Raw genomic sequence first — 12,199 nt, forward strand, 5'->3', positions numbered from 1 at the left:
ATATTATTCAAAAAAACCAGTTAATCCTAAAAATAAAATTATTAAAGTTACAAACTGAAATAATCACATAAACTACCTAAACTTTAAAGGTTAAAAGTTGAGGTATATTAAATACTAGTAAAACCAGTTTGATTAGTTTTACTAGTAAAGTCAGTTTTAATAGTTTTACTAGTAAAGTTATACTAGTTTTACTAGTTTATATGTTGTCCTAAATAATTGTCGACATGGTATGGAACAAAGAAAAGAGCAGAACAATTATTGAAATAAGAATATTGCAGCAAGTAATATTCCGTGTCTAAAACTCCATATTACTTTCCCGACAAATGAGGTTTGATTAAAATAAAATAACTAAAATAAAGCTAAATCTATCCCTGTATAATTAGGAATAAGGTAAAGGTAAACAATCATAATAGCAGTCAGTATTTATTGCCATGTTATTATGTGCCTTATATATATTATATCATAGAATGTTTTTAAAAATATATGAGACAGATGTTAATATTTTTCTCATTATACAGATGAGGAAACTGAATCATGGAGAAGTTACATTATTTGTCTACAGTCATAAAAATAGTACGCATACTTCCCAAATCAGAAGACATAAGTAGGAAGTAAAATGTGGTCAAAATAGCAAAACATAGCAAAAGAAACCTAGAAACTAAGAAAGAGCAAGGAAACATTCTATAATTAAAAACTGACCATTTGGGTCTGGAATATAGACTAACAAACCATATCTTAACATGCTGTTGATAGGTGAAGTACTTAATATATTGACAGATTTCTCACTTCATAATATTTTTGAAAATATCTATTTCAAGATAATTTTGAATAAAATTGGAAATCAAAGACTTTGCCACACACAACAGTAATACTTGCTTACTTTCTCCACTCTTCTTAAAACTGATTCATCTTCTAGATTGTTACTCTCAGCCTACCAGTGCAATCAGATCTTTCATTGAGAAAATAGATAATGCCACAGGGAATTTGCTCATATTTCAGCAGTAGATCTAAAATTCTATTTTCATGTACACTCATCCTTCCTTCCTCAAGTTTTAACAGCCCTATTGTGAAAGGTGAAACCACCTACTTTTTGCTTTTTCAGGAATCCCAGCCCATCTGTACAACCACTGTGTGATCTGAGTCTTCAGCCACTGTACCTCCTTGGCATGCTGCCATGTTCTAATAATGCCCATCATAGCAACAATGGCAGCTACAAGAAACCTTGCTGGATCCCACATGTTCTTACAGATATCCACCCCCAGTTCTCTTTTCCTTTAATAAAATTTCTTAAATAAATTTAAAAAGGAAACTACATGTAGTCTAATTCTTCAACTCCCATTCTGTTTAGTCCAAGCTTTTGGTCATGCAACTATGATGAAATTGTTATTTATCATTAAATGTAATTGATGGTTTCTAAGTTCTCATGTTGCATGACTACTCTTTCAGTCTTTGTTGGATAATCTACTTTGTCCATTTCGCTGCTTTATAGTGCCATTCCTCAGGTCTCCACCTTGGGACTTACTTTCTTCTCATTTTACATTCCGTCCCTAGGCTTTCTAACTTTCACTACATCAAATTAGAAGAATAAGACTCAAGGCTAGATTAGGTCCTGGACTAAAGCAATGTTAGTAGGATTAGAGAATAATGGAGTGTTTAAAAATTGTTCCAGGACACTATGGAAGTAGGAGTGAAGGCAAAACAAGAATCTAAGATAAATCACTGTTTTCCTTTTGGTCATAATTTCTGAGAGCTGTATCGCTAGAAGAAATTTGCGATAAAAAAATGATGGATTCAGTTTTAGATATGTTGTTAATCTTGAAGGAATTAGATAGCACTAACCAACTATGTATAATTGTTTTAGTGGGTTTTGCCTATAGAGAATTACTTACAACACATCATCAATGATCATAAAAATTAATTAAGAGGCTGAAACTCTCTTCCCATTAAAAATAATAGAGAAGTATGCTTAAGCATCAAGCTGGTAATACTGATAATATGCATTTATATTTTAATACTATAAAAAACTGTGAATAGTGTTATTGCACTAATAAAATCCAAAATCATTGAGGCGCAAAAGTAGCTAGAAGCAGTTACAGCATCTGAATTCTCCATTTCATTTCACCCGTTCTCTGGAGGCTGTGAAAATTAGGGCAAACTGGTAGGACATCACCTAATGCATCTGAAATTCTTTTTTTGCATTGAAATTAAACTGGTTATATGTTCTGATGTAAAATTATGAGTTATTTCAGGATACTGTGCAAGGGTCTATATTCCACTGATCCTATAAGTACAAAACATAAGTAGAAGACACTGATGAACACAAAACCATAAGAGGGAGAGTGCTTTTGAGCAGTCTGTGACCAGGTTAAGAAAAAAAGAGTTATTCCTTCAGCAAAATGTGGCATATAATGTGTGATATAGCAAAACAAAGCCAAAACTTTTATGGATGTACATACCTAAGAAGAGATGATAATGCTTTATTTAAATGTATCCCAAAACCTAGCTTCAACAACTTGAGAAAAAAATCATAAAAAGTGATTTAAAAATGCATATGTCTGGCTCCCTTCAATCCAGTTGGAATTAAAATAGAAGAAAGATTGAGTGCATCCCTGGGTATTATGTACACTTGAGGACAGATGTCTAGTTTATTTTCCTCCTGAGTTCTAATAAAATTACTATATTTTTAAAAGAGAAAAGCCATCATTTCTAAAACATCACAAGAAATCTAAAGGCACACTCCTGGGCGTAAAAATGTACAAAACCAGCTTGATTGAAGACCCCAGACACCAAATTCATTTCAAGGAAAATAAGGAAACAGGGTAAAATAAAAATAACCAATATCAACACTGCTGGCAATGCCTGGCATGGAGCATTTCCTTTGACTTCTCTGGCTTTTTATTAAATGCTTTGGTATTAACTGTACAGTAGAAAATAATGCATTAATACACTCAGCAAATGCTTATCCCAGCAGGGGGAATGAAAAATTGTGTTTTTTTTCCCAAATGTCAACATTCCCACCTTATTAAGGTGAGCCATAAAGAAAATACAGCAGTCTTGCCAAAATGGAAGGCAAAGAGAAACTCACCAGTGAGACACCTCTCTCTCCCTGTTCCTCCTGGGGCATCCTCATTGCATCATATAGTACCTGACGTATGTTGGAACAGAGTCCAATTACTTCTTTAGAGGGATACTAAGAAAGTTAATCTATGTTTGTTTTGGAAAATAGTGGAACTGAATAAATGTTTATTGAATCAATAAAAATAAAACAAACCAAATTGGGCCCATGAAAATATTTAGTAAAATTTTATAGAAAAAATATGATATTCCAGAGTCGAACAGAGATCCTATCTCTGGAAAATATTTACTCAAGAAAATCCATTTCTTTTTTGAACAGCACGTGCCTTGTGCTCTCAAAATCAGTCATATAAATTATGAACTTAATAAAATTAGAGCTAAAAACAAGAGATACTAAGGCCTGAAATGATGGGGAAAATGTGTTGACTAAGAAAAAAGCAGAAATACAAAGACAGCTAGATATTATAATAAAGGAAGATAAGTAAATGAAAATATTCTAGCGAAAACAGAAATAAACATAAAAGAAAATCCAACTAAGAATGTATTAGCTATCAAAAAGAGGACAAGAGAGTAAAAAGAAAAAATTTGTGTTTCCTAAAGAAAAAACTAGTAATGTTAATGAATCACAATAAAAGAAATAATAGAAAACAAACAAGATGAACTTTATTTAGATGAAGAAAACCCTGAACTTTCAGAGGCAAAAAGCTCATTATATTCCAAGTGAGCTAAACCAACATGTAAAAAAACACTGCCACTCTGAGGAACAAAAAATAAAATACGCTAACCAGAACTGGCTTAGCAAATGTAGAAATCAAGGACAAAGGAGAAATTAGTTAATACTTTGCAGAAAATATAAATAAGATCAAGCCACTCAGAAGTGAGAGACAAACTATGTGGTGAAAGGAGGTTGTACCTCTAAGTCTGACTAACTTCAGAGATTGAGTTTATTTATTATTTATTTATTTATTATTACATACCTGCCCATTGGCCTAAGGGGATTTGAAATAAGATGGTCAGTATTGTTGAACTCTTTCTCCAGTCAAGACTTTACCCATATAAAAGTAATAAAATTATTTCAGTTATTTATGAAGCAATAAAAAACAATGCGCACAAAACCTTTCTAAAATGTTGAAAAAATAATATACTTTAAGGTAGTATTTAAAAATAATGCATTATGTCCAAAAACACTACAGGTAAAACTAGTAACACAGAAAATGAGAGAAGCAGATATTAGACAAAATAAAAAGGGTTAATTTCATCATTTTACATTGAACAGAAAGAAAAGATCACATATTAATCTTGATGCCATGATTACATATAGAAATATGTTGATATCAATTGAGTATATTGTCAAATTCAACTAATATTTTGAATAAAAATTGAAGGTTACTTTCTATTACAAAGAATAAAATTAGCAATAAAGATTACCTTATATCCCATCTACTTTCAATAATTAGTAAAAATGAATTTGCATAAAAAGCAATCAGCCATGAATACATAATCATGTAGAAATCATGAACACATACAATGAGACAAACCTTTGTTACTCATTATTTATACCTAACACACACATACAAACACATTAAAACAGTGAGTTATTCCTCTGAGTATACAAGCAAAATTACATTTTTATTAATGCAGTAAGGATAAGTCATTTGTTGGAGAGCATTTAGTTAATTATCAAGAAAATATTTAGTTCAATCCTGACAATTTCTGTATCAAAATAATTTCCACGTGAATCACAGCATTATATGTAATAGAATAAAAAATTTGACAAACCACAATAAATATTTGTAAGTGTTCTTCCGTTCATTGAGAATGAGAGTCAAGTTCTTCAACAACAATAAACAAAATAAAAGCATAAGAGAGGGGATTCACTGATTGTTTTAGTGATATACACATTAAGTCTTCTAGATATCAAAAAATAAAAGTCAAAGAGCAGAGAAAATGTTGGAGAATGTTTGCCATGTATATGTTACAAATATTGTTAAATTTAGATAAAATAGCACTTAAAAATAAAACATAAGAACATGCATGTATTACTTTCTATAATACATGATGCATGTCTTGTTGTTTTAATAAATAACATTATAAACCATTCAACTTCAACTCATTTAACCCATACAGAAAGGCTGACTTCAGTGACAGAGAGAAATTTGTGCTCACATGTGTCCTGTCCACAGGACATCCACCTGGGTAATCTGATTCTTATCTTTCATTGTCTTTGAGATATTTTAAAACTCTTTAAGTTGTAGATATCTCATAGTAACATAAAAATAATTCCTATCTATAGACATGCAAATCGTGTCTTGTCTGGTAGAGGTTCAATAGACTTTTTTCAACAATCTATTAATATCTCCAATGGAAAGCGTGTTTGCCTCCGTTTGTATAATCTTTCAATATTCCTGATCTATAAATGTGTGTGTGTTTTGCATTCTCTTTCGACTGGTTGTATAATTTGCTTGGTTCACTCATAAATGCATGAATGGAATACAATTTTTAACTTGTGTTTGTATCTGCATAATTGTCATAGAATGCATATAAATATGTTCTCCTTCAGGTGTTTTCATGTTCAACCAATGAATTATAGCCATTTAATAAATTCTTATTTTGAGTAGCACATATACACTCAATTTATTAAATGAGTCAGCAGGCTACTTTATTTTGAATATTGCTTATGTGTATAACACTAAGGAAAGAGTAGGCAGACAAGAGCAAGGCATGATATCTGTCCTAGAGGAAGAGAGAATCTCATTAGGGCCTTAACTATATTTTATGTATGTATTATTTGTATATATTTGGCTGTTTGTGGATATTTGCATAATAAGCAACCAGTTAATACTGATTTGAAACACCGCAAAGGAGTGTTAGCAATCTTTCATGGGATTCCAGAGGCAGATAAAGATGACTGATCATAGGAAATATCTAATGGTAGGACTGTAATTGGGAGTGAATTTGACAGTCCATCAAGAATGAATAGAGTTTGAGTGAAAGCACAGGATGGAACTCTTTTCAATTAGAGAAGCAATGGGAACAAAAGTAATCAGGACAGATTTCACAGCATACATCTAGTGACCATCAAATGACACTTCAAATGTACCAAATTCTTCCAATTGGGGTACTGCTTATTTATTATTTACTTTATTTTTAAATTTTACTAAGCATTTATAATGTTCTGGGCAACTTTTTCAAGTGCTGGGATACGGCGATAGAACGTAAAGACCTAGAGCTCAGTCTCATAGTTCATGCTCTAGTAAGATAGATAAGGGGTAAAATATTTTCATTTAATGCTAAATGTGATTAAAGTTAGAATGGAAGGAAATAAAGAGGATTAAAAAGGAAAGAAACATAATCTGCTTTACATTTCTAAAATAGTCTTCTATATGCTGGGTGGAGAACTGGGCTGCCAAGAGTACAAGTTAAAGCAGAGAGGACAGTTAAGAGGCTATTCAAATAGCCTAAGCTAGAGATAATGGCTGGTTGAAATATTCTGACAGTAGTCAGAGTGCAGGGAAATGGTGTGATTCAGGATATATTCTGAATAGAGAGGGAATTGATATACTGACGAATTGGATGTAATGGAGAAAGAAAAGTATTACAAATGATTTCTAACTACTTGACTCGAGCAATTGTGGGGATGGAGTTGTCATTTACTGAAATGGAAATGATTAAAGCAGATGCGGAAGTGAGGATATCTGGGGGTGATAGCTATGGAAGCAAGTAAAAAAGTCCATTTTGTATCCATTTAGGGTAAGATGATGGATAGACAGCTAAATAGAGATGTCAAGTAGACTACTGAATATACTAAAGTGCTAAGAAAAAGGCAGAGCTAAAAATGTAAATGGGGACATATACATTGTGTTTAAATTCATGAGACCGAATGAGGTCACTTAGGGAGAGAGTGCAAAGGTCGAGCTGCAGAAGGTTTGGAACTGAGCCTGGAGCACTAAAACACTAAGAGGTTAGTCAAAGGGAAAGTGCTGGAAAAGAAAAATGAGAAGGAACAAGCACTAAGACAGGAGGCAAAACAAGAGATTATGGAGTTGCAGTCTGTAAGAGCAGAAATTATTTTACAAAAGACGTATTTAATTTTTCTGAATATATTTTTACAAACCACAAAAGCCTGAACATTGGGTTTGCTAACACGAAGTAACTGATGACCTTGATAAAATAGTTTCTTGGAATTGAATGAATAGAATTACACATAGAATAATAGTTCAGGAGACAATGAAAAATAAGGAAGGCGAGATTGTATATGAGCGAGTATTTTCCATAAGATTTGCTACAAAGAGGACCACAGAAATGTCATGGTAACTGTGCAGAAACATTTTTTCTTAATAATGAATATATCAGATCATTATCAAATACAATTTTTAATGAGACAAAGAATTTAACAAAGCTAAAGGTAAGGATTATAGGAAAGCCAAGAAGTAGCTTAATAGAGTAGGAAAGAATTTAGGGCTAGGAATGAGAAACAGCTGGTTTTGAAGCTAGGCATCATGGCATATCAGCTGTGTAATCTTAAATAGGTTATATAAACCCTTATATATGATCTAGTTTTGCATAAAAGGAAAAAAATAATAAAGCTTGACACTATTAAGGGCAACACTGAGGTACTCCCTAAGGATTTAAGGATTTGGAAAGTAGGAGAATCAATTGTCTTTGAAATATAAATTGCTACATAGAAAAAATACATATATATGCAAAGAGTGGATTTTGAAATTTATCTGTAAGTGACAGGATAGCTAAAAAGCCAGAAGGATTTAGGACTACTTTAAATGAACGACATTAAGCTACTTAAGGAAAAAATAATAAAAACACTTTGTGCCATTCAGAAGAAAGGTTTGGTCAGCCATAAAAGCAGAAATAAAAGGAAAGTCACCAGGAAATATGGGCATCACACTGATTCAAGTACTATACAGCAGAGTGTACATTAACCATCCTCTCAAAATATCTTCATCTCCTAAGGAAAGCCCATCTCTGGAATAAAAATAACTGTAAAGTTCTGTAGCCAAAGGGATGGAGATTTCCATTTGTGGAGGGAAACTCATCACAATCATGAGAGTGGCTTCCAGCCATCTCAGACAGGCACATTAAGCTTTGATTCAGACAGTTCTCTTGTTTTGTTTCCAAGCTCACAAGCCACCCTTGTGCACGTCCTTCTCGTGAAGAGAATGTGCTGATGTAATGGACTTTTGAGTATTTCTCTCTCCTGAGACCGTTAGTTCTCATGGTAAATCAATAAAGTGGTTTCTGATTTTGACTTGGCTTCTTCTCATAGTGTTAGACTGCAGAGGAGATAATGTGCTGGCCACACTGAAGTTAAGTATTTCCAGTCCCTATGACATTATTTTCCATTGTAAAATAATGAACAGAAAGTTGGTGTATGGTACAGCTCTGTGGACATTTTAGATAGCAAGGTTAGTCTCTCAGGACCTAATTATTTCTGAGCACATGAAGAGAAAGATTTGGGGTCTTTAAAGAGAAGGGTCAAACGCCAGGGGCCTTTGCAGACAAATTTCCTAATGGTTGTTTAATATGTTATTCAGTAGATATGCATTGATGGTTACTAAGCGTTTGAGTCCCCCTTAAAACCAAAGCACAACATGCTACACTGTTTCCTGTGAATGCAACTCAGATTTAATCTGAGGACCATATGGATGCTGGAAACTACACATAATGATGACTCTATCTTAATGAATTGACATGTATTTCATAGCATTGAAACATTTCTTATCTGATTCTGAGAATGTGCAATTCAAATTGACCAAACTTCAGGTTCATGTAGTAAAGATGTATATGAGGATAATAAAAACAGTCAACTTATTTCTTAAATTGTGTTTAAGGTCAATATATTGAGTACTGATAAGATTACAAATACATTGCTTTAGTTTGAGGCAATGCCAATACCTATCAAGATACTACGTGCTTATGGTTGTTTTCCTCTTTCCCATCATGTCTGATTTTAAAGCTATTTCTTCTAGGGAACTAGATGGTTATAATAATATTATTGCTAGGAATCAGAATTTTAATTTTCCACAGTTACTGTTTCTAAAAACCATTGTCTGGTTTGGGAAGACAATAGATGAAATGAAATAATAATTTTCAAAATACACAAGAAAAGTCATTTGCTTTTACTCTTGGGAAATAGTGATGGAATAAAAGATGTATTGCCTATGTTGAAAAAGTATTGCTTAGCGTAAGTGTTTACACACTGATTATGCATTTAATGAAAGACAGAATCATTTATTTGGTCACTTCTTTGTTACTATCAATTTTTGAAATAGAATTATCTCCTGTGAATTTCACTTTAACATTGAATGATGTGAGGGTAAGTGATTGCCTGATTGCCTAAGCATGCCGTTTAGGGCACTACTGGGTTCTCTAAAGAGTTGCTGCTTCCTCCAAAATTGCAGTAAAGTAGGAAAGCTCTTAAAACTTCAAGAGGAAAAGGCTTCCTCCATAATTGCATCTTATTTGGGCCGGAATCCTATATGTGTAGTGTCTAAAAATGAAGCAATAATATGAAGTGGAAGCAATATCACTGTAATGCACATTTCAAAGAGACTCAGTGCTAATTCTCTTGACTTCATGTGCTTTGAAGTGTTCAGAGAATGAAATGGTGACACTTGTAACGAAAGCAAAAAATTCCTTTTCAAGTGTTAGTGTAATGCTGCCCTTTGAGAAAGGATAAGAGAAATGTGTATAGGTTCATTAGAAAGTTAACAGTTTCTTACCACAGCTGTTAAGTTGTGGGTGACATGAATGCTAGGTACAACTAAATTTTTCTTTGTGTTTTTAGAAACAGTTAGATCTTTGTTTCTTTACTTGAAAAGGCACTTTAATTAATGTGAGCTCATATGAGCACAGTGTGCCTCCTCACAGTAGCTAAAAACAGATTCATCTTCTGTCTCCCAGCTTCTTTTCACTCAGTAGCTGTACAAAAGCCTAGCACGAAACTCATTAATTACCCCAATCCACCTTTACAGTCTTCTTAGCCATTCCCATCTTTAATCCTGGCTGTACATTTTTCTTTAATCTCTGATCCCTAATAACTAATCAGAAATTAGGCCTTGACATCCTTCTGTAATTTCATACCATGAAATATCTTATATTCTTCCCTAAATCATCTGCTTTGAGTAGCCTAGCTCTGTCATTATTCTAGCTGTGACCCTTCCCATGTGACCAGGGGTATGGAACCAAGGGAATGTCCCTATTCAAAACCTGTGGTGTCCTTCAAGTCCACAGTCTTAGACATCAGGATTTGCATTTTCTGCTCAAATGTTCCCAAAGTCTGCTTCCACTTGAGGCTGGCCACTCTGGAGATTGGCCACACAGACTTAAGACATAACCCAAGAGCAACTGTTGGCTGGGTAATGAGATAATTATAGGCAGAATTTAATCTTAGTTGAGGGTGTCCATACACATGTGTATAAGGCTCCTCGAGTGCAGGAAGAACTAGAAGTAGGAAAAAAAGGGGAGGAGATGCAAGGTAAGTGTATCCATTTGTACTCTTGTTCTAACCCACAAATACAAAGGGCTCCCTTGCCTAAGGATTCGGTTTAATCCTACTCTTAGCTATCTTTATTGATCATTTTATTTCATGGAGAAGCTGCTTACTTATGACCCCAGAGCTCTTATAATCTGCACCACATCTAATCTCTAATTACATACTGTCATGTAATTGCCTTGGATTGGTTAGGGCTTCCCCTCACTCTCTGTAATAACATGTAAAATGGATTTATTTTTACTGCTTAATACATTGCTGTGCATAAATTACTCAGTGCATTTTTGTTAAATAAATGTATGTGGAGGACAAGGCTTATATTTAAATTAATATGCTTCCCTCTTCAATTTTCTTTGGGATGTTGATATTATTTATGTGCCTTCAGAATGTACAAGCAATGTATTCTGGTGTTTTAGCAGCTTCTTGCTCTTCTCTCCCCTAAAGTGTGAGACCTCTGCCTTGCATTTTAATTCATCAGGGTTGTGGAAATCATAACCGTCACTTAGACATTTTGACCAAATTTATTCTCGAAATAATAGAATTATGGAGAGTGAAGAAACATGCATGGACATTTAGTTTAATCCACCTTTTTCTTTGGCAGTATTCCACAACATCTTTGACAGATGATCAAAGACTAATTGCCCATCCAATTAACCTTAGACTACCAACAGGGTGTATTACAGAACTCTGAGCATCTTTAACATGACTGATTTATAAAATGAACCTTCCCCAACAGAAAAAAAACACCTCATCATTTTACATGTCAGAAGTAACAGTAACCTGATTACCAGGGCTACTATTTTTTTCACAGGAGAATCTTAGCAACTCCAGATTCTTCCATATCTATAGTGTAAGATGTTACATTTTCCTTACCATCATCAAAGTATTCACAGTTCAATAAAACTATAAAATCTTATCTTTAAGCCAGTTGTTTGTACTCTACTTTTATCCTTAATAACTATATGCCTTTTCTTTAAATATCTACACTTTTTTAATCTGGTTATTAGCACCAATGAAACACTTTTAAACCTTTTTCACCTTCTGATATTTTATTTTTTTAATCCCTGTGAAGTAGTGGAAGAATAAGACTAGAAAGACATTTTATCCCTGCCTACCTTTTTGCTGTGTAAAATAAGTTGTCTATGTGTGGCAGTGTGTGCGTGTGTGTGTGTGTGTGTGTGTGTGTGTGTGTTTCTGCACTAGTGACCCAGGGAGCATAACAGTGAAATGGAAGTAGAATATTTGCATCTTTTAGTTTCTGAAATTTTAAGATTTTATATTTATATTAAAATTAAAGTCTTTGTCTCAAAATTTTAAATTACCATTAATTATCATCAAAATGTCTTTAAAACAATAATGTTATAAATTAACACTGGAAAAACAAGAAATGGGGAGATTGTGCTTATTTTAAAAAGGTAAAAATTTCTATATTAAACAATTTAAAGTAGAGCAGGTGAGACATTGGTAAAATGCACACAATGTTAATTCCAGTTTGTCTTTCAGATCCAAAAATAGCTGTTATTATTTATCTCTGACCTAATAAAGAAAATATGAAAATATAAACAATGCCATGCTTCAAATTATGGTCATTTTTCAAAATTATACAGGTTTTCTGTG

General features: G+C 33.2%; 1 protein-coding gene across 4 annotated transcripts in view; it reads right to left on the reverse strand.

The window, feature by feature from the left end:
- LRRTM4 (leucine rich repeat transmembrane neuronal 4) overlaps positions 1-12,199 on the reverse strand; it is a 774,692-nt gene that overhangs the window by 71,089 nt on the left and 691,404 nt on the right. The window lies entirely within an intron of this gene.

This window comes from Homo sapiens, chromosome 2 (genome assembly GCF_000001405.40).
Source record: "Homo sapiens chromosome 2, GRCh38.p14 Primary Assembly".
Taxonomy (NCBI): domain Eukaryota; kingdom Metazoa; phylum Chordata; class Mammalia; order Primates; family Hominidae; genus Homo; species Homo sapiens.